At 45.0% G+C, this 26436-nt stretch overlaps 1 protein-coding gene across 4 annotated transcripts in view; it reads left to right on the forward strand.

The window, feature by feature from the left end:
• Positions 1-26436, forward strand: part of CCDC77 (coiled-coil domain containing 77) — a 53296-nt gene that overhangs the window by 17990 nt on the left and 8870 nt on the right. For 3 of the 4 annotated variants that reach the window (NM_001130147.2, NM_001130148.2, NM_001130146.2), the window contains 6 exons: positions 4411-4642; positions 11158-11300; positions 21433-21529; positions 23328-23400; positions 24530-24618; positions 25838-25986. In NM_001130147.2, the coding sequence (NP_001123619.1) occupies positions 4469-4642; positions 11158-11300; positions 21433-21529; positions 23328-23400; positions 24530-24618; positions 25838-25986 (725 nt within the window). In that variant the 5' untranslated portion in view covers positions 4411-4468. Of the gene's footprint in view, positions 1-2031; positions 2086-4410; positions 4643-11157; positions 11301-21432; positions 21530-23327; positions 23401-24529; positions 24619-25837; positions 25987-26436 lie in introns of all 4 variants that reach the window. The other variant, NM_032358.4, reaches the window with a different exon arrangement.

Here is a 26436-nt window from a genome sequence, read left to right on the forward strand (position 1 = left end):
AGAATTAGTATTTATTGGAATGTAGAATTCTGAGAGAAGAGCAGGTTTTTGTGGTGGGAGGTATGTATCAGGAGCTCAGTTTTATATTTGGCGAGCTTGGGAGACCTGCTGGACATCCCCATGGAGAGACGGGGTAGGCAGTTAGATGTGTGAGTCTAGAGTGGAGGGCAGAGTAAGGACTGAGGCATCAATTTGAAAACTACTAATGTGCACATGCTATTTAAAACTGTGAGACTTCAGGAGATCACCAAGGCAATGAGTAATGACCAGTAAGAAAAGGGGACAACCAGGAAGAGGTGTCCTGGAAGCCAAACAAAGAAAGCTTTGACGGAGTCAGGGAGAGAGGCACTGTGGGGTTCTGAGCAGGAAAATGGTATATGGAAGTAACAGTGGTGATTATCTCTTTTCATACTTTTACACAAAATTCTTTCCCAAAGGACTGAAGATTTTTTTTTTTTTTTTTTTTTTTGAGACGGAGTCTCGCTCTGTTGCCCAGGCTGGAGTGCAATGGCGCAATCTCGGCTCACTGCGACCTCCACCTCCCAGGTTCACGCCACTCTCCTGCCTCAGCCTCCCGAGTAGCTGGGACTACGGGTGCCTGCCACGACACCCGGCTAATTTTTTGCATTTTTAGTAGAGATGGGGTTTCACCGTGTTAGCCAGGATGGTCTCAATCTCCTGACCTTGTGATACACCCACCTCGGCCTCCCAAAGTGCTGGGATTACAGGCATGAGCCACCGCACCCGGCCACAGGACTGAAGATTTTAAATAGATTATACCAGGTAGAAGGACATAACAGAACATCATCTGACTTGCTCAGAATCAGAGTGGATTGACAGCGAATGCTTGATAAGAAAGTTTTCACCAAAGCAATAAAAAAATCAGCCTCTCTCCCTCTCTCCTTCTGTCTCTGTCAATCATATAACATGGTATGGCATTCCCTTTCCAGCCATGAGGTTTATCTTCATGAAAATTTCTATAATAAGGTTGCTTAAAGTACAGGAGCTCAAGATCTTGGGTTATCAATTGAGATGGAGATTATGAAGAGCCTTTTAAAGTTTATAAGTAATTTTTTTTCTTTTGCTTAAGATAATAGAGAAAGTACGCGAAATAAAGATAGCATCAGTGGCTTTATATTCATTTTAAATTTGATATAGTGGGTACTCTGCCTTAATTTCTATTTACTACTTCTGCTTTTGGAGAGGGGAGTGGGGGCAGGGGAAGTCAATATGTTGGTGAGGCTGGCCTTGAACTCCTGGGCTCAAGGGATCCTCCCTCCTCAGCCTCCTGAGTAGCAGGGACTATAGGTACGGGCCACTGCACCTCGCTCTATGTACTGTTTCTTGCTTATTAGAGACTTTTCTGCATCTTCTCCTCCTATCCTATAACTTCAAGGAAAAGATTGTAGATTTGTTTTTGTGTTGTTGCAGATAACAAGGAGACTTTTCTACTTTGTGTGCTTATCCATTTAAATATTCAATGCCATTCTGATTTTTATTTGAAAATAATTATGAGGAGTACCTTTTGAAAATTCAAAAGGCATGAATTTCAGGATTTGGAGATACTTTAAAGAATACTACATTTTAGGCCGGGCGTGGTGGCTCACGCCTGTAATCCCAGCACTTTGGGAGGCCGAGGCAGGTGGATCACAAGGTCAGGAGTTCGAGACCAGCCTGGCCAATATGGTGAAACCCTGTCTCTACTAAAAATAACAAAAATTCGCCAGGCGTAGTGGTGCACACCTGTAGTCCCAGCTACTTGGAAGGCTGAGGCAGGAGAATCGCTTGAACCCAGAAGGCAGAGGTTGCAGTGAGCCGAGATCACACCACTGCACTCCAGCTCCAGCCTGGGCAACAGAGTGAGACACTGTCTCAAAAAAAAAAAAAAGAAAAAAAAAACTACATTTTAAAACATCAGATTCTTTCCAAGAAGCAAATATGATGATGTTGAAGAGGGAACCAGTCTAATCCTGTACTGTTTTTATTTTTCTATTCGTGGCCCGTAATTATGAATTTTTGTGTATTTGATAGGTGTGAAAAAGACAGCATGAACTTTACCCCAACACACACCCCTGTCTGCAGAAAGTAAGACATTTGCTTATTTTCAAGTTGTTAAGAAATCGAGACTTGTATAGCCTTAGTCTAAGCATAGGAACTGGAAAGGTATTGGAAACATATTTCCTAAAGTTTTTTTTCTTTGAGACAGAGTTTCACTCTGTGCCCAGGATGGGGTGCAGTGGTGCAATCATTGCTCATTGCAGCCTTGACCTCCTGCACTCAAGCAATCCTCCCACCTCAGCCTCCCAGAGTGCTGTGATTACAGGCATAAGCCACTGTGCCCAGCCTGAGACATCCCCTTTAGAAAATATGAAATGTTGGCCGGGCACGGTGGCTCACTCCTGTAATCCCAGCACTTTGGGAGGCTGAGGTGGGCAGGTCACAAGGTCAGGCGTTTGAGACCAGCCTGGCCAACATGGTGAAACTCCGTCTCTACTAAAAAAAAAAAAAAAAATTAACTGGGCATGGTGGTGTGCACCTGTAATCTCAGCTACTTGGGAGGCGGAGGCAGGAGAATTGCTTGAACCCAGTTGGTGGAGGTTGCAGTGAGCTCAGATCACGCCACTGCACTCCAGCCTGGGCAACAGAGCAAGACTCCATCTCAAAAAAAAAAAAAAAGAAATGTTAAGTAAACTAGTATTTCTCTCACAAGTTTTTAATCACTGGGAAAATGTTTAAGTTTTTCTTCATGCTAGTTGACAGATTTTAATATCTCTGCATGCTTATTTATTACAAGTGAGCACATATATTAACTATAACTCAGAGCTTCTGGTATAGTTTCTCCACTGTACTATTTTGTTATGTTATAAATTGCAGACAACCAAATTGGATTTATTTTCACAGGAGGGTTTCTCTTCTTCTGTACTATTTTTGTTTTTTTTTTGTTTTTTGAGATGGAGTTTTGCTCTTGTTGCCCAGGCTGGAGTGCAATGGCATGATCTTGGCTCACCGCAACGTCTGCCTCCCAGATTCAAGTGATTCTCCTGCCTCAGCCTCCCGAGTAGCTGGGATTACACACGCGTGCCACCAGGCCCGGCTGATTTTTGTATTTTCGGTAGAGACTAGGTTTTGCTGTGTTGGCCAGGTTGGTCTTGAACTCCTGACCTCAAGTAATCTGCCCACCTTGGCCTCCCAAAGTGGTGGGATTACAGGCTAATTTTTGTATTTTTGGTAGAAACTAGGTTCCGCTATGTTGGCCAGGCTGGTCTGGAGTGGCGTGATCTCGGCACTTGAACCTGCCTCCTGCGTTCAAGCAATTATTCTGCCTCAGCCTCCAGAGTAGCTGGGATTACACACGCGTGCCACCAGGCCCGGCTAATTTTTGTATTTTTGGTAGAGACTAGGTTTCACTATGTTGGCCAGGCTGGTCTTGAACTCCTGACCTCAACTAATTTGCCCGCCTTGGCCTCCCAAAGTGGTCGGATTACAGGCATGAGCCACTGCACCCGGCCTGCAATATGTCTTATGGTACTACATTTTCTAATTGTTACTACATGGTCTCCCTTAGTTTATATTCTGTTTTTTTAAATTATCTTTTTCGTCTCTAATGGATTTTATTTTTACTTTAGAGACAAGGTGTTGCTATGTTGCCCAGGCTGGACTGGAACTCCTAGGCTCAAGCGATCCTCCCACCTCAGCCCCCTGAGTAGCTGGGACTGCTCAGCTACTCAGCTGTGCCACCATTCCTGGCTCTAACATGTATTTTGAATCCAGCTTTAAACCATTAGTACTTGGAAGATAATTAATAAAATTATTTACTATCCTGTAATATCAAACTTTCAATTTGTTTTTTTTTTTTGAGATAGAGTCTCGCTCTGTCGCCAGGCTGGAGTGCAATGGCATGATCTCGACTCACTGCAACCTCTGCCTCCCAGGTTCAAGCGATTCTCCTGCCTCAGCCTCCCGAGTAGCTGGAACTACAGGCGTGCACTGCCACACCCATCTCATTTTTTATTTTTGTATTTTGGTAGAGACGGGGTTTCACCATGTTGCCCAGGCTGGTCTCGAACTCCTGAGCTCAGGCAATCTGCCTGCTTTGGCCTCCCAAAGTGCTAGGATTACAGGTGTGAGCCACCACGCCCGGCCAAGATTTTTTTTTTTTTAAATAAAGACAGGGTTTCACTATATTGCCCAGGCTGGTCTTGAACCCCTGAGCTCAAGTGATTCTCCCACCTTGGCCTCCAAAAGTGCTGGGATTACAGGCATGAGCCACTATGCCTGTCCAAACTTCCAAATTTATGAGCACCTTAATTATAAGCACTTTGGGAACACAAAACCCCCTTTTATTTAGGAAGTTATAACTCATAAACTTTCGCAGAGTGTGATGAATATATCATTTCTAATTTCACGTAGGCGAACAGTTGTCTCCAAACGTGGTGTTGCCGTCAGTGGTCCCACCAAGAGGAGGGGAATGGCAGATTCACTGGAGTCAACCCCCTTGCCTTCCCCCGAAGATCGTCTGGCCAAACTCCATCCTTCTAAGGAGCTCCTGGAATATTATCAAAAGAAGATGGCTGAGTGTGAGGCAGAAAATGAGGACTTGCTGAAGAAACTGGAACTCTACAAAGAAGCTTGTGAAGGACAGGTAAAGAAACGATGCTGCTGCTTTAGAACTCTGATGGAGTCTTCATAAATTAGAGATGCCCTACAAGTGCCAGTTTATATCAGAAGCAGATGTTTTATAAAAATACTCCTTTTTTATTCCCCAGCCCAGCTATTGCCCCTTCAGGCCCTCCTTGGATCATAACCCCCAAAACTGCCCTTCCTCTCAAATCTTAAATTCTGACATCTCCATATCTCTTATACCTAGTTCTTTCATCTCCTTGTACCTGAGTAGTCCTTAACTTCTTTGTTACCTCCATAGCTTCCTGACTTTTCAGTTTTCTGAGTGCTGTATATAGCTCTGATATCAAGTCCTTCAAACCTAAACCCCATGATGCTTTACTTGAGTAGTAACTGCAGTGCCTGCAAATGACCCCTTGCTCAATTATTCTTCTGCTCCACCTGCATAGCAAAAACTGAGCTGTGGCATCATCCAGTTCTCTGCCACGTGTTCTCCTATAGCAGGATTTCTTAACCTCGGCATTATTGACATTTTGGCCTGGATGATTCTTTGTTGTGAGGGGTTGTCCTGTGCGTGATGGGATGTTTAGCAGGATCCCTGGCCTCTACCCGCTGGATGCCAGTAACACAACACCCCCAGCTGTGACAATCAAGAATCTCTCCAGACATTGCCAGATGTTTCTGGAATGGGTGTATGGATGTGCAGAGTCACTCCTGATTGAGAACACTGTTGTAGAAAGGTCACAAATCAGTACAGAATGAATCGATGGTAAACAAATTCAGCTGTACCCTCAACCATTATACAGCAGTCTTCTCACCTATCCTTACTGGCTTTCCTCTCCTTCCACATCTGTGCCATACCCTCACCTCTAGCCTGCAACCCCTTCTTAGCCCTCCTCTCTCAACATCTTTTCTGCCATCTGCACACCGTTACTCCATCCGTATCTATCTCCTTCTTCCTTCCTTTGTTTTTTCTCTGGTTGCTTTTCTTTTTTTTTTTGAGACGGAGTCTCGCTCTGTCGCCCAGGCTGGAGTGCAGTGGCGCGATCTCAGCTCACCACAAGCTCCGCCTCCCGGGTTCATGCCATTCTCCTGCCTCAGCCTCCCGAGTAGCTGGGACTGCAGGCGCCCGCAACCATGCCTGGCTAATTTTTTGTACTTTTAGTAGAGACGGGGTTTCACCGTGTTAGCCAGGATGGTCTCAATCTCCTGACCTCGTGATCTGCCCACCTCGGCCTCCCAAAGTGCTGGGATTACAGGAGTGAGCAACCGTGCCCGGCCTGTTTTTTTGTTTTTTTGAGACAGCGTCTTACTCTGTCGCCCAGGCTGGAGTGCAGTGGCGCGATCTCAGCTCACTGCAAGCTCCGCCTCCCGGGTTCACGCCATTCTCCTGCCTCAGCCTCCCGAGTAGCTGGGACTACTGGTGCCTGCCACCATGCCCAGCTAATTTTTTTGTATTTTTTTAGTAGAGACAGGGTTTCACCGTGTTAGCCAGGATGGTCTCGATCGCCTGACCTCGTGATCCACCCGCCTCGGCCTCCTAAAGTGCTGGGATTTCAGGCATGAGCCACTGCGCCCGGCCTCTCTAGCTACTCTTTTTATATAAATGGCTCTTTCTTTTCCCAGTCACACTTCCAGAATCTTTTGACTTTCCCATTCACTGAATGGGATTTTTTTTTTTTTTTTTTTGAGACGGAGTCTCGCTCTGTCGCCCAGGCTGGAGTGCAGTGACGCAACCTCAGCTCACTGCAAGCTCTGCCTCCTGGGTTCAAGCAATTCTCCTGCCTCAGCCTCCCGAGTAGCTGGGATTACAGGTGCACGCCACCACACCTGGCTAATTTTTTGTATTTTAGTAGAGGCAGGGTTTCACTGTGTTGCCCAGGCTGGTCTCAAACACCTGAGTTCAGGCAACCTGCCTGCCTCGGCCTTCCAAAGTGCTGGGATTACAGGCGTGAGCCACCGCGCCCAGCTGGGAAATGTCTTGACTGCAGTTTCATCTCGGTCCTTGCCATGCCACTAAAACCGTGCCGTCTGCGGTCTCCAAATACCTGTTTACCAAACTTTTCTCTTTTTGCCCTTTGCAGTGTCTGTCACTTTTGACCTCTCTTTTTCTAAAATTTTCTTCCTTTCTTGATTTCCTTTTTTTTTTTTTTGAGACGGAGTCTCACCCTGTCTGCCAGGCTGGAGTGCAATGGCACAATCTCGGCTCACTGCAACCCCTGTCTCCCGGGTTCAAACGATTCTCCTACCTCAGCCTCCCAAATAGCTGGGATTATAGGTGCCCACCACCACACCTAACTAATTTTTGTATTTTTAGTAGAGGTGGGTTTTCACCATGTTGGCCAAGCTCATCTCAAACTCCTGACCTTGTGATCCGCTTGCCTTGGCCTCCTGAAGTGCTGGGATTACAGGCGTGAGCCTGGCCTCCTTTCTTGATTTCTGTGTCATTTTTCTTTCACAATTTCTATCTAACCTCTCTGATCAGCTCATCTCAGTGTCCATTAACAACTCTCTTTCCTTACTCTTAAATTTCAGAGTTCTTCCAGATTCTACTATAAATGACCTTGTTTTATCCTTGTATTACACTTCTGCATACGGGATGATGACTGTTAAATAACTAACCCTGACTCACTTTTCTCCTGAGGCTCCTTTCTCTACCCTCCCTTCCCCACCCGCACATGTACTGCCACCATTTCGCCTTCCTCCGTTTCTCATGCCTTAACTTTTTCTTTATTCTTTGTCTTGGCAAATGGCATCATTGCCTACGGTTCTTCCAGTCCCCCTAAACCGAATCATTTGGCAAGTCCTGTTGATTCTGCTTCCTAAATATTACTTAATCCATTCCCACACCCACCTCACTTTGGCCACGATGCTCACACAGACCCTTGAGTTGCGTCTAAACTGTGACGGTGTCCTCCTTGCCAGTACCTGCCTCTGGCCTCTTACATCCCCAGTTGGCCTCACACTTTTCACTCTAGCAGTACTGAAATATTTGTACTTGTCCAAATTTAATAGGCTTTTGTTTTTTGGAGGTTTACTTGTCATTTTTATCACATTATGTATGTATACAATGAATTACAGGGTAATTCATTCCATTTGGGCTCCTGGATAGCTTCAGGATGGGAGCTGGTTGCCAGATGGCAGTGATGCAGCATCTCTGAATACATTTACTGGGACACAGTGTGAGCCACCGTGCCCAGCCTAATTGTTTTTGTAGATTCTACAAAAAAAGTGTTTCCAACCTTTTGAGTTCCACTGTGGACTTGTATGCTCTCCCTTTCTCTGAATCAGTTGTTAATATTTATTAACATAATTATTAACATAATATTATGTTAATATAATCAACATAATATTATGTTAATATAATCAACATAATATTATGTTAATATAATCAACATAATATTATGTTAATATAATCAACATAATATTATGTTAATATAATCAACATAATATGTTGATATTATTAACATAATTAACATAATAATATGTTAATATTAACATAATTATTAACATAATAATATGTTGATATTATTAACATAATTATTAACATAATATGTTAATATTAACATAATTATTAACATAATAATATGTTGATATTATTAACATAATAATATGTTAATAAAAATGTAATAAATATTTTTATCACATTATGTATGTATCTATAGACCTCTGGGTTTTTTGTTTTTTGTTTTTTGAGTTAGGGTCTTGCCCTGTTGCCCAGGCTGGAGTGCAGTGGTGCGATCATAGCTCACTGCAGCCTCAACGTCCTGGACTCAAGCAATCCGCCTGCCTCAGCCTCCCAAGTAGCTGGGACTACAGGCATGTATCACCATGCCCAGCTAATTTTTTATTTTTTATTTTATTTTGAGATGAAGTCTTGCTCTTGTCACCCAGGCTGGAGTGCAGTGGCACAATCTCGGCTCACTACAACCTCCGCCTCCCAGGTTCAAGCAATTCTCCTGCCTCAGCCTCCTGAGTAGCTGGGATTATAGGCGCCCACCACCATGCCCGGCTAATTTTTGTACTTTTAGTAGGGACTGGATTTCACCATGTTGGCCAGGGTGGTCTTGAACGCCTGACCACAGATGACCCATCTGGCTCGGCCTCCCAAGGTGCTGAGATTACAGGTGTGAGCCACTGCACCCTGCCCAATTTTTTATTTTTTGTAAAGACAGAATCTCGCTCTGTTGTCTAGGATGGTCTTGAACTCCTGGGCTCAAGCCATCCTCCCACTTTAACCTCCCAAAGTGTTGGGATTACGGGCGTGAGTCACTGTGCCCAGCCTTTATGAAATTATTTTTAATGACCTTGCCCAATTTTAAGTGTTCAGTTGAGTAGTGTTAAGTGTTTATGTGTGTGTGTGTGTGTGAGTCTGTGGGTGTGTGGGGGTGTGTGTGTGTGTGTGTGTGTGTGTGTGTGTGTATATATATATATATATATATATATATATATATATATATTTCTTTTTTTTTTTTTTGGAGGCAGTCTGGCTCTTTCACCCAGGCTAGAGTGCAGTGGTGCCATCTCAGCTCCCTGCAACCTCCGCTTCCTGGGTTTAAGCAATTGTCCTGCCTCAGCCTCCCAAGTAGCTGGGATTATAGGGTGCGCCACCACACTCAGCTGATTTTTGTTTTTTTGGTAGAGATGGGGTTTTGCCATGTTGGTCAGGCTGGTCTTGAACTCGTGGCCTCAAGTGATCTGCCACGCCTGGCGTGTTAAGTATATTCACATTGTTGTGTGACTGATCTCTAGAACGTTTTCATTTTACAAAACCAAAACTCCATCCCATTAAACAGATCATTTCTCCCCACACTCCCTGTAACCACTATTTTACTTGCTATTTCTATGAATTAGAAATAGAGCAGGATTTGTCAGGCATGGTGGCTCGTGCCTGTAATCCCAGCACTTTGGGAGGCCGAGGCCGGCGGATCACCTGGGGTCAGGAGTTCGAGGCCGGCGGATCACCTGGGGTCAGGAGTTCGAGACCAGCCTGACCAACATGGCAAAACCTGTCTCTATTAAAAATACAAAAATTAGCTAGGCGTGGTGGCACATACCTGTAGTCCCAGCTACTTAGGAGGCTGAGGCAGAAGAATCGCCAAGGAGGTGGAGGTTGCAGTGAGCTGAGATCACACCACTGCATTCCAGCCTGGACGACAGAGCAAGGCTCTGTCTCAAAAAAAAAAAAAAAATAGAGCAGGATTTATTTAGAATAGAGTGGAATCATACTGTAGTTTTTCTTTTTGTAACTGACTTATTTCACTTAGCATAATGTCCTCAAGTTTCGTCTGTGTTGTAGCATGTGATGAGATTGTCTTCCTTTCTGACAACATCAGGCTCTCTCATGGTTCTTATTTACAGTTCTCTTTTCTTGGAGTACCAACTGTCTGCTTCTCTCTCTACCCATCTTCTGTTCATCTGTCAAGTGTCAGCTCTTGGGTGGTAGCGCTTTGATTTCCCAAACAGATCTCAGAATGTTTATTCCTGCCACGCTTTCCCCCACACCATTTCACCATGCATGCTTTCATGAAGTAATTATTTTATTTTAATCATTTGCCTCTCTCCCCATGAAATTCCGTAGCTCTGTAGACAGGAATCGTATCTTTTCATCTTTGTTTTCCTGCATGTCATAATAATGCTTATGATATAGGAAACATTACTAAAAAAGTGTGGATAGGCTAGGTGTGGTGGCTCACGCCTGTAATCCCAGCACTTTGGGAGGCCAAGGTGGGTGGATTGCCTGAGCTCAGGAGTTCAAGCCAGCCTGGCCAAAATGGTGAAACCCCGTCTCTACTAAAATTAGCTGGGCGTGGTGCACACCTGTAATCCCAGCTACTCAGGAGGCTGAGACAGAAGAATCACTTGAACCTGGGAGGTGGAGGTTGCAGTGAGCTAAGATCATGCCACCGCATTCCAGCCTGGGCGACAGAGTGAGACTCTGTCTCAAAAAAAAAAAGTGTGGATAGAATAGGTGAGTCGTACAGCATTCTGGATTCTATAGTCTGTAAAAGGAAGATGTGAGAGCTTTGATGTTAAATGCAAACTTCACACTCATCCTGTAGCTGTTAAACTCCAGTCAAGGCTGGGCATGGTGGCTCGTGCCTATAATCCCAGTACTTTGGGAGACTGAGGCGGGTGGATCACTTGAGGTCAGGAGTTTGAGACTAGCCTGCCCAACATGGCGAAACCCCATCTCTACTAAAAATACAAAAATTAGCCGGGCATGGTGGCATGCACCTGTAATCTCAGCTACTCGGGAGGCTGAGGCACAAGAATCACCTAGAAGGTGGAGGTTGCAGTGAGCTGAGATCGTGCCACTGCACTACAGCCTGGGCAACAGAGCAAGACTTGGTCTCAATAAATAAAAAAACAAACAAACTCCAGTCTATACATGCCTATTGCTGTCATTTGAATTCTGTATTGGCAAAATTATTTACTTTGGAATATTTCTACATGAGTAGACTCCTCCCTATCCAGTGAGAGATACTCCATTGAAACCCAGTGTCTTTCAACTATCTTATTGTGGTTTTTTTGCAGCATAAACTTGAATGTGATTTGCAGCAGAGGGAGGAAGAGATTGCTGAATTGCAGAAAGCTCTAAGTGATATGCAGGTCTGCCTCTTCCAGGAACGGGAACATGTTTTACGCCTCTACTCAGAAAATGACCGACTGAGAATCAGGTACCAAATAGGAGAAGGGAAATGTTGGAGTTTAACTTTAAATTACATTCATTCATTCATTCATTCATTCATTCATTGATTTAGAGGCAGTATCACTCTATTGCCCAGGCTGGAGTACAGTGGCGCTCTCTTGGCTCACTGCAGCCTCCACCTCCTGGTTCCAGCGATTCTCATGCCTCAGCCTCTCGAGTAGCTGGGAACACAGGTGTGCACTACAAGGCCTAGCTCATTTTTGTATTTTTAGTGGAGATGGGGTTTTGCCCTGTCAGCCACGCTGGTCTCGAACTCTTGGCCTCAAGTGATCCGCCCACCTCAGCCTCCCGAAGTGTTGGGATTACAAGCGTGAACCACCATGCCCAGCCCTTTAAATTACTTTTAAAAAGATACATTTCTCCACATTAATTCTCTTAGGTTGTATTCTCTAGGAAGTGGACTCTGAGATGGAGATTTGCCTTCACGGTAGTTACTGGAGAAGCTCTCTGGAATAATAGCTATGAGCAGATTTGGGCAGAGGTAGAATATGAACGGATACTGTGGTAACAGAAGCCTTAACCAACCCCCATAGGGAGCACTAAGGATAGGGTGGTCTTTCGGCAGCAAAGGACTGAGAATTTTGTGTCCCCACATTGACCAGTCATAGGATGCAGGTAGTCCCCAGGGAGGGTATGTAAACTTGGGAGAAGAAGCCCCCTTCAGCCAAGTGTCATTTTTCAGAGAAAAACTGAGCTCCTGGGAGATATGGTCACAAGAAGGAGTCATAGCAGTACACTACATGTTCCATTACAGTGCTCTTCTGTGTGTGTGTGCTGGGAGTGAGAGGGTAAAATACACATAGCAGCACACTCCATGTTCCATTACAGTGCACTTCTGTGTGTGTGTGCTGGGAGTGAGAGGGTAAACACACATAGCAGCACCCTCCATGCTCCATTACAGTGCTCTTCTGTGTGTGTGTGCTGGGAGTGAGAGGGTAAAACACACATAGCAGCACCCTCCATGCTCCATTACAGTGCTCTTCTGTGTGTGTGTGCTGGGAGTGAGAGGGTAAAATACACATAGCAGCACACTCCATGTTCCATTACAGTGCACTTCTGTGTGTGTGTGCTGGGAGTGAGAGGGTAAAATACACATAGCAGCACACTCCATGTTCCATTACAGTGCACTTCTGTGTGTGTGTGCTGGGAGTGAGAGGGTAAAATACACATAGCAGCACACTCCATGTTCCATTACAGTGCACTTCTGTGTGTGTGTGCTGGGAGTGAGAGGGTAAAATACACATAGCAGCACACTCCATGTTCCATTACAGTGCACTTCTGTGTGTGTGTGCTGGGAGTGAGAGGGTAAAATACACATAGCAGCACACTCCATGTTCCATTACAGTGCACTTCTGTGTGTGTGTGCTGGGAGTGAGAGGGTAAACACACATAGCAGCACCCTCCATGCTCCATTACAGTGCACTTCTGTGTGTGTGTGCTGGGAGTGAGAGGGTAAACACACATAGCAGCACCCTCCATGTTCCATTACAGTGCACTTCTGTGTGTGTGTGCTGGGAGTGAGAGGGTAAATACACACATAGCAGCACCCTCCATGTTCCATTACAGTGCACTTCTGTGTGTGTGTGCTGGGAGTGAGAGGGTAAATACACACATAGCAGCACCCTCCATGTTCCATTACAGTGCTCTTCTGTGTGTGTGTGCTGGGAGTGAGAGGGTAAAACACACATAGCAGCACCCTCCATGCTCCATTACAGTGCACTTCTGTGTGTGTGTGCTGGGAGTGAGAGGGTAAAATACACATAGCAGCACACTCCATGCTCCATTACAGTGCACTTCTGTGTGTGTGTGCTGGGAGTGAGAGGGTAAAATACACATAGCAGCACCCTCCATGCTCCATTACAGTGCTCTTCTGTGTGTGTGTGCTGGGAGTGAGAGGGTAAAATACACATAGCAGCACACTCCATGTTCCATTACAGTGCACTTCTGTGTGTGTGTGCTGGGAGTGAGAGGGTAAAATACACATAGCAGCACACTCCATGTTCCATTACAGTGCACTTCTGTGTGTGTGTGCTGGGAGTGAGAGGGTAAACACACATAGCAGCACCCTCCATGCTCCATTACAGTGCACTTCTGTGTGTGTGTGCTGGGAGTGAGAGGGTAAACACACATAGCAGCACCCTCCATGCTCCATTACAGTGCACTTCTGTGTGTGTGTGCTGGGAGTGAGAGGGTAAACACACATAGCAGCACCCTCCATGTTCCATTACAGTGCTCTTCTGTGTGTGTGTGCTGGGAGTGAGAGGGTAAAACACACATAGCAGCACCCTCCATGCTCCATTACAGTGCACTTCTGTGTGTGTGTGCTGGGAGTGAGAGGGTAAAATACACATAGCAGCACACTCCATGCTCCATTACAGTGCACTTCTGTGTGTGTGTGCTGGGAGTGAGAGGGTAAACACACATAGCAGCACCCTCCATGCTCCATTACAGTGCTCTTCTGTGTGTGTGTGCTGGGAGTGAGAGGGTAAAATACACATAGCAGCACACTCCATGCTCCATTACAGTGCTCTTCTGTGTGTGTGTGCTGGGAGTGAGAGGGTAAATACACACATAGCAGCACACTCCATGTTCCATTACAGTGCGCTTCTGTGTGTGTGTGCTGGGAGTGAGAGGGTAAATACACACATAGCAGCACACTCCATGTTCCATTACAGTGCACTTCTGTGTGTGTGTGCTGGGAGTGAGAGGGTAAAATACACATAGCAGCACCCTCCATGTTCCATTACAGTGCTCTTCTGTGTGTGTGTGCTGGGAGTGAGAGGGTAAACACACATAGCAGCACCCTCCATGTTCCATTACAGTGCTCTTCTGTGTGTGTGTGCTGGGAGTGAGAGGGTAAAACACACATAGCAGCACCCTCCATGCTCCATTACAGTGCACTTCTGTGTGTGTGTGCTGGGAGTGAGAGGGTAAAATACACATAGCAGCACACTCCATGCTCCATTACAGTGCACTTCTGTGTGTGTGTGCTGGGAGTGAGAGGGTAAACACACATAGCAGCACCCTCCATGCTCCATTACAGTGCTCTTCTGTGTGTGTGTGCTGGGAGTGAGAGGGTAAAATACACATAGCAGCACACTCCATGCTCCATTACAGTGCTCTTCTGTGTGTGTGTGCTGGGAGTGAGAGGGTAAATACACACATAGCAGCACACTCCATGTTCCATTACAGTGCGCTTCTGTGTGTGTGTGCTGGGAGTGAGAGGGTAAATACACACATAGCAGCACACTCCATGTTCCATTACAGTGCACTTCTGTGTGTGTGTGCTGGGAGTGAGAGGGTAAAATACACATAGCAGCACCCTCCATGTTCCATTACAGTGCTCTTCTGTGTGTGTGTGCTGGGAGTGAGAGGGTAAACACACATAGCAGCACCCTCCATGCTCCATTACAGTGCTCTTCTGTGTGTGTGTGCTGGGAGTGAGAGGGTAAAATACACATAGCAGCACACTCCATGCTCCATTACAGTGCTCTTCTGTGTGTGTGTGCTGGGAGTGAGAGGGTAAATACACACATAGCAGCACACTCCATGCTCCATTACAGTGCTCTTCTGTGTGTGTGTGCTGGGAGTGAGAGGGTAAAACACACATAGCAAAAAGTTCACCATTTTAGCCATCTGAAGTGTACGGTTCAGTGGCATTAAGTATATTCACGTTGTTGCACAACTGTCAACATCATTGAACTCCAGAACATTTTCATATTCCTAAACTGAAATTGTATACTCATTCAACAGTAACTCCCACATCCCCGTTACCCCAGTTCCTGGAACACACTATGCTACTTTTCGTCTCCATGAATTTGACGATTTTAGGTGCCTCACGTAAGTGGAATCATACAGTATTTGTTATGCTTATTTCACTCAGCGTAATGTCTTCAAGGTTCATCCATGTTGTAGCATGTGTCAGAATTTTCTTCCTTTTTAAGACTGAACAATATTCCATTATATGTGTGTACCACATTGTGTTTATCCATTCATCCACCAGTGGAGCTCAGCTCACTGTAACCTCCGCCTTCCAAACTGAAGCTGTCCACCCACCTCAGCCTCTTGAGTAACTGGGACTACAGGTGTGTGCCAACATGTCTGGCTAATTTTTTTTGTAATTTCTGTAGAGACAGGGTTCTGCCATGTGGCCCAGGCTGGTCTCCAACTTCCAAGCTCAAGTGATCTGTCTGCCTCAGCCTCCCAGAGTGCTGGGATTACAGGTGTGTGCTACTGTGCCCGGCTGAGACCTTACTTTTAATTCTTTTGTGTATATACCCAGCAGTAGATCACATTGTAATTCTGTTTTTATTTTTTTGAGTAACTGCCATACTATTTTCCATAGTGTTTATACCATTTTATATTCCCACCAGCAGTGCACAAGGGTTTCAGTTTCTCCACATCCTTGACAATACCTGTTATTTTCTTTTTTTTTTCTTTTAAGCCTTTTTTTTTTTTTTTTTTTTTTTTGAGACAGGGTCTCACTCTGTCACCCAGGCTGGAGTGCAGTGGCATGATCTTGCCTCACTGCAGCCTTTACCTACCTCCTAGGCTCAGGTGATCCTTGCACTTCAGCCTCCAAGTAGCTGTGACTACATGCATGTGCTGCCATGCCCAGCTAATTTTTATATATATATATATTTTTTTTTTTTGTGGAGACAAGGTTTCACCATGTTTCCCAGGCTGGTCTCAAACTCCTGAGCTCAAGCAATCCTCCTGCCTCAGCCTCCCAAAGTGCTGGGATTACAGGCATGAGCCACCATGCCTGGCCAACACTTGTTATTTTCTGGGTGTTTTTTGTGTTTTTTGTGTTTTTTTTTGTTTTGTTTTTTTTTTTTTTTTTTTGAGACAGGGTCTTGCTCAGTCACCCAGGCTGGAGTGCAGCGGCATGATCACAGCTCACTGCAGCCTCAACCTCCCAGGCTCAGATGATCCCCCCAACCTCAGCCTCCCAGTTAGTTGGGACCATGGGTGCGCACCACTGTGCTTGGCTAATTTTTGTATCTTTTGAAGAGATGGGGTTTCCCCGTTTTGCCCAGGCTGGTCTCACACTCCTGGGCTCAAGCGATTTGCCCACCTTGGCTTCCCGAAGTGTTAGGATTACAGGCGTGAGCCACTGTGCCCAGCCTTATTTTCTGTTTATTTGATAGTAACCGTCTTAATGGGTGTGAGGGAGTCTCATTGTGGTTTTGATTTGCATTTTTAAATGTTGAGCATCTTTCTTGTGCCATTTATATATCTTCTTTGGAGAAATGTCTATTCAAATATTTTGCCCATTTTAATAATTGGGTTGTTTTTGTTGTTGAGTTGAAGTTCTTTTTTGTTGTTGAGACAGGGTCTTGCTCTGTCGCCCAGGCAGTGGCGTGATCACGGCTCACTGCAACCTTTGTCTGCTGGGCTCAAGCTGTCCTCCCATGTCAGCCTCCTGAGTAGCTGGGACTACAGGCATGTGCCACTACACCTGGCTAATTTTTGTATTTTTGGTAGAGTCAGAGTTTCGCGATGTTGCCCAGGCTGGTCTCAAACTCCTGAGCTCAAGTGATCCTCACCTCACCCTCCCAAAGTGCTGGGATTATAGATGTGAGCCACCGTGCCTGGCTATAGAAGTTCATTATATATTCTGGATATTAAACCTTTGTTAGATATACAGATGCATGCAAATATTTTCTCCTGTTCCATAGATTGCCTTTTTATTTTCTCCTCTTTTTTTTTTTTTTAGGGGCAGGGTATCACTCTGTCGGCCAGGGTGATCCTCCTGCCTTAGCCTCTGGAGTAGCTGGGATTATAGGCATGCACCACTATGCCTGGCTAATTTATTTTCTTTTTTTCATTTTTTTGTAGAAACAGGGCAGATCTCACTATATTCCTTAGGCTGGTCTTGAACTTCTGACCTCAAGTGATCCTCCTGCTTCAGCCTCCCAAAGTGCTAGGATTACAGGAATGAACCACTATGCCGAGCCAGGAGTTTTTAATTTTTATGAAGTTCAATTTATGTATTTTTTTATTTTGTTGCTTCTGCTTTTGGTATCACATTCAAGAAATCATTGCCAGATTCATTGTCAGGAAACTTTTCTCCTATGTTTTCTTCTGAAAGTTTTATTATTTTAGCTCTTACGTCTAGGTCTTTGATCCATTTTTAGTTAATTTTTGTATACAGCATTAGGTAAGGTTCCAACTTCATTATTTTGCATGTGGATGTCCAGTTTTCTCAACATCATTTGTTGAGAAGACTTAGCCACATGGTTTCTTTCTTTTTTTTTTTTTTTTTAATTTTTATTTTGAGACAGGGTCTCCCTCTGTCACCCAGGCTGGAATGTAGTGGCACGATCTCGGCTCACTGCAACCTCCACCTCCCAGGCTCAGGTGATCCTCCTGCCTCATCCTTCCAAGTAGCTGGGACTACAGGCACGAGCCAACACACCTGACTAATTTTTGTATTTTTTGTAGAGACAGGGTTTTTCCATATTGCCCAGGCTGATCTCGAAGTCCTGAGCTCAAGCAATCTGCCCTCCTCAGCCTCCCAAAGTGCTGGGATGTCAAGCGTGAGCCACCGCACCCAGCCTCGCCACGTGGGTTTTTGGTGTCCCACGGTCAAGTGCTCCGTTTTTAGCAGGATCTACTAGCATGGCAGAAGCTGGTTTTCAAATGTTGTCATTCTCAGCTGTAGACAGCATGGTCTCGCTCCAGATTCTCAGAGGGTCTGTTAGGATTCTTGTCGTGGTGCTTGCCGTAAACTCCACCTGGTACCTTGTGCCACCACAGACACCATAGGATCCGCCAAATGATGTCCCAAGCAGCAGAGCATCCTTTCAACTCTGGGCCACACCGAAAGCTCGCCTTCCATGTCAGTTGATACATAGGTCAGAGCAGTATTCCAAAATGCGGAGTATGTTGTCTCCAGAACCTGAAGTCTCCTTTCGGGCATTGTGCTTCCTTCTTGGTGGTAGCATGTACCAGGTGAAATAATTTGATCTTTACATCGGAGGGAATATCCTGGGATACCTGGATCACAGCCTTAAAAACTTCACTCATGTGCTTCGTAAGGTTCATCTGCAACCCTCCCGAGCACACGTATCTTACCACGTGCACTTGCTGTTTCTTGTTCATGCCGTCTGATTTAACGCGATATCATCAGTAGTGAGCTACTGGCCATCTGTGGAGTAGCCAGATCCAGATTCTTTTTTTTGTTTTTGTTTGTTTGTTTGTTTGTTTTTGAGATGGCGTCTCAGTCTGTCACCCAGGCTGGAGTGCAGTGGCGTGATCGCAGCTCACTGCAACCTCCGCCTCCCAGATTGAAGTGATTCTCCTGCCTCAGCCTCCCGAGTAGCTGGGACTACAGCGCACGCTATCACGCCCAGCTAATTTTTGTACTTTTTAGTAGAGATGGGGTTTCACCATTTTGGACAGGCTGGTCTCGAACTCCCGACCTCGTGGTCCACCCGCCTCGGCCTCCCAAAGTGCTGGGATTACAGGTGTGAGCTACCGCGCCCAGCCCAGATTCTTTTATACTGTATTGACAGAAAGTAAAAGCGTTAACATGGCCCTGGGAAAGACTATAAAAGCACACTGCTGTCCATGTCACATGATGTGAACTGCCTCTGGTCTTTTGAGGGGTAGGAAAGAATCCATTTGCCTAATTAGTGGCCACTTACCATGTGCCTGAGACTAAGTAATTCTCTTCTAGCAAAGGTGCTACATCTGGCACAATGACTGAAATTGGGACCTACTGGGTAGTAGTCTACTCTTATCTTCCAGAATCCATCTGGTTTTGTATGGGTCATACTGAGGAATGAAATGAGGCTTTCATAAGGACCTCCACCTCTGCATTCTTTAGGTCTTTATTGATCGTCTTGACTGGGTAGGGAGGGGCAGTTTCTGAGGCTTTCACTTAGCTTGCCCCAGAAGCCAAGAAGCTAATTTGGAGGTACTGTCCCCCACCTAGTATGTCCATTTTAAGCATTTGGGAACTGAAGAAATGCCCATTGATTTGGTGGATCCAGTAGACCTGCTGTGAGTTGGACGTGGGCCACAATTCCATTTATTCCATGGTCCCCACGTGCCCCAGTGCCATGATGATGCTTCACGTTATCTGGTGTCGGTGTCAGCTTAGACCCTGTATCCAGCAGTCCTTAAAATGCCCAGGTCTTTCCTCTTCCCCAGTATACAGTTACTTGAATAAATGGCTATAGACCCTTTGGAGGATGTGGGGAATCATTACCATGAATATCTACTCTGTGGTGTCGCAGGGTCTTACCTTCTAGGAGTTCCAGCCTCTTCTTTAGGTAATTGTCTCTAGGACTTAAAACTGACTTGGGGCTGGTAATCCCAGCACTTTGGGGTGGCTGAGGCGGGCAGATCACGAGGTCAGGAGTTCAAGACCAGCCTGGCCAACATGGTGAAACCCCATCTCTACTAAAAATACAAAAATTAGCTGGGCATTGTGGCATGCGCCTGTAGTCCCAGCTACTCGGGAGGCTGAAGCAGGAGAATTGCTTGAACCCAGGAGGCGGAGGTTGCGGTGAGCTGAGATCATGCCATTGCACTCCAGCCTGGGCGACAGAGCGAGACTCTGCCTCGGAAAGAAAAAAAAAAACGGACTCGGGCCTGAAAAACGAGTCAGAGATTGTGATTTTGTTTGGGGTGCAGCCCTCAGCCTCTTTTCCATCTTTGACTTATCTTTTATTGTTTGAGCTATACTCTGTTGACTACCCATCTACCTTGCTGCTAGAAACGCCACGTTCTGTAAACCATCTCCATATCAAGTCGCTCTGAAATCCCTTTTTATGTTGTTTTTTTTAATTAATTAATTTTTTTTTTTTTTTTTGAGACAGAGTCTTGCTCTGTCGCCCAGGCCAGAGTGCGGTGGTGCAATCTTGGCTCACTGCAAACTCCACCTCCCGGGTTCAAGTGATTCTTGTGCTTCAGCCTCCTGAGTAGCTGGGATTACAGGTGCACGCCACCACGCCCAGATAAATTTTGCATTTTTAGTAGAGACCAAGGTTTCACCATGTTGGCCAGGCTGGTCTCGAACTCCTGACCTCAGGTGATCCGCCTGCCTCAGCCCAAAGTGCCGGGATTACAGGCATGAAACACCACACCCGGCCCGAAATCCCTTTTTAGCGTTTGCTTCCTTGGCCCAGTCCAGACCTAAGCTATCTTAGGTTGAGTTCTCTGGGAAACAGACTGTACAGTGGAGATTTGCTTGCAGGAATTTTATTGGGAAGTGAGGGAACTTAAACTGGGATTCAGTTGCAGCAGGCCTCGTCCAACACGATAGGGATCTCTGAAGCTGGGATGGCTCTTCAGAGATATCCTGAACTGAGCAAGGGGATTGGATTTTTGTGTTTCCTCATTGACCAGGCACTGGATATGGGCTGTCCCTGAGGAATGAGAGGCAGAAACTTGGGTGAGGCAGTTCCCTTGTCTGGGGATTCAACTACAAGCTATCAGCAGGCAGCATTCCTGGCAGTTGGCAGAATGAGCCCATCAGCCCCGAAGAGCAAGATCTGAGCAGTAACCCTCAGCAGCCACTACCATTCCCTTTTAGAATTAGCTAAGAAGTGGCCGGGCGCAGTGGCTCCCGCCTGTAATCCCAGCACTTTGGGAGGCCGAGGCAGGCAGATCACGAGGTCAGGAGATCAGGACCTTCCTGGCTAACACAGTGAAACCCTGTCTCTACTAAAAATACAAAAATTAGCCGGGCATAGTGGCGGGCGCCTGTAGTCCCAGGTGCTCGGGAGGCTGAGGCAGGAGAATGGCGTGAACCCGGCAGGCGGAGGTTGCAGTGAGCCAAGACCGCACCATTGCACTCCAGCCTGGACAACAGAGCGAGACTCTGTCTCAAAAAAAAAAAAAAAAAAAAAAAAAAGAATTAGCTAAGAAGTGCCCTGGCCCCTTTTCTCTGAATGGAAATACCTGATGTTTTACGAAGTAGAGCTGAAGTCTAGATACAAACTATTCAATTTTAATTTGAGGTTACTGTTTTAATTTGGGGTTACAATTGTTTTAAAAAAAAAATAGAAGGGAGATCCTTTAAACAGAAAAAGGTTACTTACTTGGGACATTTAATAATATGTGCTTGCTTTCCATGAGAATTGCAGGGAGCTAGAAGACAAGAAAAAGATTCAGAATCTCTTGGCTCTTGTGGGAACAGATGCTGGAGAAGTGACCTATTTTTGTAAGGAGCCTCCTCACAAAGTAAGTAATCTTTGGTGTAGCATGGTGAGTGTGGCTTTACAAGTCACAGGCTAAGGCCCATCATCAGAAGAACTTTAGTATCCGCTGGAGAAGGCAGATGGAGAATTAGCCATCACAGTGCCTTGTTTGCCTGAGTTTTTAAAGCATTTTTCTTCGAAAACCTTGGGAAGTAGCATTATTTACCCCATTTCAATGTTTAGAAACCTGAAGCACAGAGGGGTGGCTGTTTTAGCTGAGACAGAGAGGAAAGCAGGAGCAGACTATGTGTGGGAGCAAGTTTTGATGCTTAAGTTTCTTTTTAAATCTTTGTTTATACTGATTACAAATGTAATCCATGGTCTTTATTAAAAACAAACACAGAGTATAGTAATCTATCATATAAAAGTGGCAGGTTCTCATAATCCTATACCCCAGAGATAATCCATTAGTAATAGTTTGGTGTATATACTTCCATCTCTTTCTTCATTCCTATAGAAATAGTTATGTGTCTGTGTATACTATTTCTATTTTTTCACTTCTATAAACAGTTCCTGAGCATTTTTATACATATCTGTATACGTATACTTCTGTTTTCTAAAGGTCCTTGGCCAAGAGCTACTTTTTTTTTTTTTTTGAGACAAAGTCTCATTCTGTTACATAGGTTGGAGTGCAATGCGCAATCTCGGCTCACTGCAACCTCCGCTCTGGGGCTCAAGCACTCCTCCCACCTCAGCCTCCCAAGCAGCTGGGACTACAGGTGTACACCACCACGCCCAGCTAATTTTTGTATTTTTTGCAGAGATGGGGTTTCACCATGTTGCCCAGGCTGGTCTCGAACTCCTGAGCTCAAGCAGTCCGCCCACCTTGGCCTGTCAAAGTGCTGGGATTACAGGCATGAGCCACCACACCCACCAAAGAGCTGCTTTTAAAAAAACAATAAAAATTTTAAAAAAATTTTAGAGCTGAGGTCTTGGTATGTTGCCTAGGCTGGACTCACACTTCTGGGCTTAAGCACCATCCTTCCACTGTAGCCAGCCTTCCAAGTAGCTGGAACTACAGGGGTGCACCACTGTGCCCCAAGCTGTTTTTGTTTTTGTTTTTAATCATATATTACTAAATAGCCCTGCAATTTTGTTTATTTATTTATATTTATTTATTTATTTTTCAAGATGGAGTTTCGCTCTTGTACACCAGGCTGGAGTGTAATGGTGCAATCTCGGCTCACCACAACCTCCGCCTCCCAGGTTCAAGTGATTCTCCTGCCTCAGCCTCCTGAGTAGCTGGGATTACAGGCATGTGCCACCACGCCTGGCTAATTTTGTATTTTTTATAGAGATGGGGTTTCTCCATGTTGGTTAGGCTGGTCTTGAACTCCCGACCTCAGGTGATCCGCCCACCTTGGCCTCCCAAAGTGCTGAGATTATAGGCATGAGCCACCGCACCTGGCCTTATTTTTATTTTTTTAGAAACAAAGTCTCATTTTGTTGCCCAGGTTGGAGTGCAGTGGAGTGATCATAACTCACTGCAGCCTTAAGCTCCTAAGCTTAAGCAATCCTCCCACCTTAGCCTCCTGAGTAGCGGGGACCACAGGCACATGCCACCACACCTGGCCTACCTTTTTAAGTTTATATTGTCAACACAGGGTTTTATCCAGTTTGCTACTTTGCCTGTGTGGTCTGTCATGTGCATGACATCCTTATATGATCATATCAGTTTTGACTAATTTAACTTCTAGTGTTCAATCTGCAGAACTAAGGCTGAAAAGTAAAATATTACGTTTATAGGAAGGCTACTTCAATACCAGTTTTTGCTTCTTCAGGTCACCATTCTCCAAAAGACTATCCAGGCTGTAGGTGAATGTGAGCAGAGTGAATCTTCAGCTTTCAAAGCAGGTAACAACCATATAACCTATTAGAAATTCTCATCAATGCAGAATTGAAAATCACAGTGCAGGCTGGGCGCGGTGGCTCACGCCTGTAATCCCAGCACTTTGGGAGGCTGAGGTTGGTGGATCACCTGAGGTCAGGAGTTCGAGACCAGCCTGGCCAACATGGCAAAACCCCATCTCTACATAAAATACAAAAAACTAGCCGGGTGTGGTGGCAGGCGCCTGTAATCCTAGCTATTTGGGAGGCTGAGGCAGGAGGATTTCTTGAACCTGGGAGGCGGAGGTTGCAGTGAGCTGAGATCGTGCCATTGCGTGACAGAGCAAGACTATCTCCAAAAAAAAAAAAAAAAAAACAGAACACACAATTGGAAATGTTTTCCTACTGTACAGTGATAATTGATGTTCATAATGATGCCTTTGGTGGTCTAATGTCTTAATGAGCTTCTTGAATCATCCAAGGAATTAAATTTTGCTCAGTTCTTTTTTTTTTTTTTTTTTCTTTTGAGATAGAGTTTTGCTCCTGTTGCCCAGGCTGGAGTGCAATGGCGCGATCTTGGCTCATTGCTGCCTCTGCCTCCCAGATTCAAGCGATTCTCCTACCTCAACCTCCTGAGTAGCTAGGACGACAGGCATATGCCACCACACCTGGCTAATTTATTGTATTGTATTTTACTTTGTGTAGGAAGGGGTTCTCACTATGTCACTCAGGCTGGTTTTGAACTCCTGGCTTCAAGTGATTGTCCTGCTTTGGCCTCCCAAAGCACTGAGATTACAGGCATGAGCCACAACACCTGGCCTTATTCTGATCGAATAGGATTTACTAAGAAAATAGACACAACTATTTTAGTGGTTGATTCTAAGGAAAATTTAGTGGTTGATTCTGCCAGAAGATGAATATGATTATTTAGGTGACATCCTGCAGAGTTCCCTTATAGAGATTCCTATTTGAAAAGTTAAGCACTATGATTATGATGTTTCCCTTTGTCTTCCGAATCCCTTCATTAGTGAGAACCCCTTCATTACCCTTACAGGTAAATGAATCTGAACTCCTCTGCGTGGGAAATACTGATATTTCAATAGCACACAGAAAAGCTGAGTAAAATCTTCTTGATGGATTTTGTTTTCTATTTTAGATCCTAAAATAAGCAAAAGAAGACCATCGAGAGAGAGAAAAGAAAGTTCTGAGCATTACCAAAGAGACATACAGACACTCATCCTACAGGTAAAGAATGTATTTTGGCAGACCAAGATGGCTTTTATCCACAGGTGCAGCTCTATGTCACATACCCTCAGTGTCATGTGATAAGTATCTCCTTGCACACAGGTTACATCTAAGCATCATGTGGTTAAGAAAATTGAGATTGTTCCTAATTTCTAAGAGCTTATATTTTGAAACCATCCTTTTCTATTTGAACATTCTTAAGGTGCTACTCTGAACCTTCAATTCAATATACTAAGCCCCATCCACCAAAACCATTACAAGGTAAGAATTCACTGGCCTAGGGATATGCAGAGATTGCAGAGGGAAGCTTGTCTATGCTGATAGATCAACATTTGATGGTATATTCATTTATTTAGTGCTTAGGTTCCAAAGTCTAGGAAAGTAATGAACTGTTCTCTTACCTCCTGGTTATGTGTCATTTGGAACCATGATTTTTCATCTAGTTGCACTAAAGTTTCTGTCCTTACTGTGTTAAATCTCTGTTGATTTAAATGACAGTTTCTACCTTTGGCCAGTATCTCCATGTGGAGTCATGACAACCAGACACAGAGAAGGAAATTACATTATATTCATTTTGCTCTGCTTTTTGAAACCAAAAACTAAGAAAAGAGTCATTTTGCTTCTGTGCAGGAAGGGTGTCTTAAAGGGAGACAGTCAAGGGAGATAGTGAAAAGGCAAAAATCACAGGGTGAGAAAACTGGATTTTGTAGCTTTGTTTGTGTGTTGTAGATGCTGGGTTTCGTTTGGACAAAGAATCTACTCTTGTATAGCCTAACCCCATTTATAAGACATTAAGAGGAACTGGGCTGGGCATAGTAATGCCTGTAATCCCAGCATTTTGGGAGGCCAAGGCGAGTTGATTGCTGGAGCCCAAAAGTTCGAGACCAGCCTGGACAACATAGTGAGACCCCATCTCTACAAAAATTAAAAATGAAATTAGCTGGGTGTGGTGGTACACACCTGTAGTCCTGGAGGCTGAGGCAGGGAGGACTGCTTGAGCCCAGGGGGTTGAGGCTGCAGTGAGCTATGATCACGCCCACTGCACTCCAGCCTGGGGGACAGAGCAAGACCTTGTCTTGAAATGAACAAGAGGATTAGGATTGAGATGTTTTTGTTTGTGTTTGTTTTTTAATTTTTCTGGAGAAAGGCTCACTTTTCCTAGAGGTATGAAGTAAGTGGAAGTAGGGCTGGATTCCTCACCCCTTTTTGGCCTGTCTAGGTGGAAGCACTGCAGGCTCAGCTGGGAGAGCAGACCAAACTTTCTCGAGAACAAATTGAAGGGCTCATCGAGGACAGACGGATTCACCTTGAGGAAATACAAGTTCAGCACCAGAGAAATCAGAACAAAATCAAAGAGCTAACCAAAAAGTGAGTGTCTAAGAAAGCTGTACCTAACGGGTATTGTATTTTTCTGAGTGACTTAAAAGTTAACATTTTGTACTTGAACAACAGCGGGTCATAGAACTAAAGGGAGCCTTGAAAAGACTGTCTTCCTCAGAAACCCCCGCCTCTACGTAGGTGAGTACCTCGCTTTTCCAGGCGTGCTGTTGAAGAGCTGATGAGTATTTCACGTGCTCCTTTTAATCCATTTTGGTGTTTTAGCTTGCTTCTGGTGGCTAAGAAGTGTTCTTAGGCCGGGTGCAGTGGCTCACGCCTGTAATCGCTCCTGCCTGGGTGACAGAGTGAGACCCTGTCTCAAAAAAAAAAAAAAAGTGTTCTTTTATCCACTGATATACTATCTGACTCAATGTAGTAAGACCCTTTTCTTTTGTTTGCCCCTTCATGAATATGGAAAACATGAGTTTACATATCTAAAAA

The sequence above is a fragment of the Homo sapiens genome, chromosome 12 (genome assembly GCF_000001405.40).
Source record: "Homo sapiens chromosome 12, GRCh38.p14 Primary Assembly".
Lineage (NCBI taxonomy): Eukaryota > Metazoa > Chordata > Mammalia > Primates > Hominidae > Homo > Homo sapiens.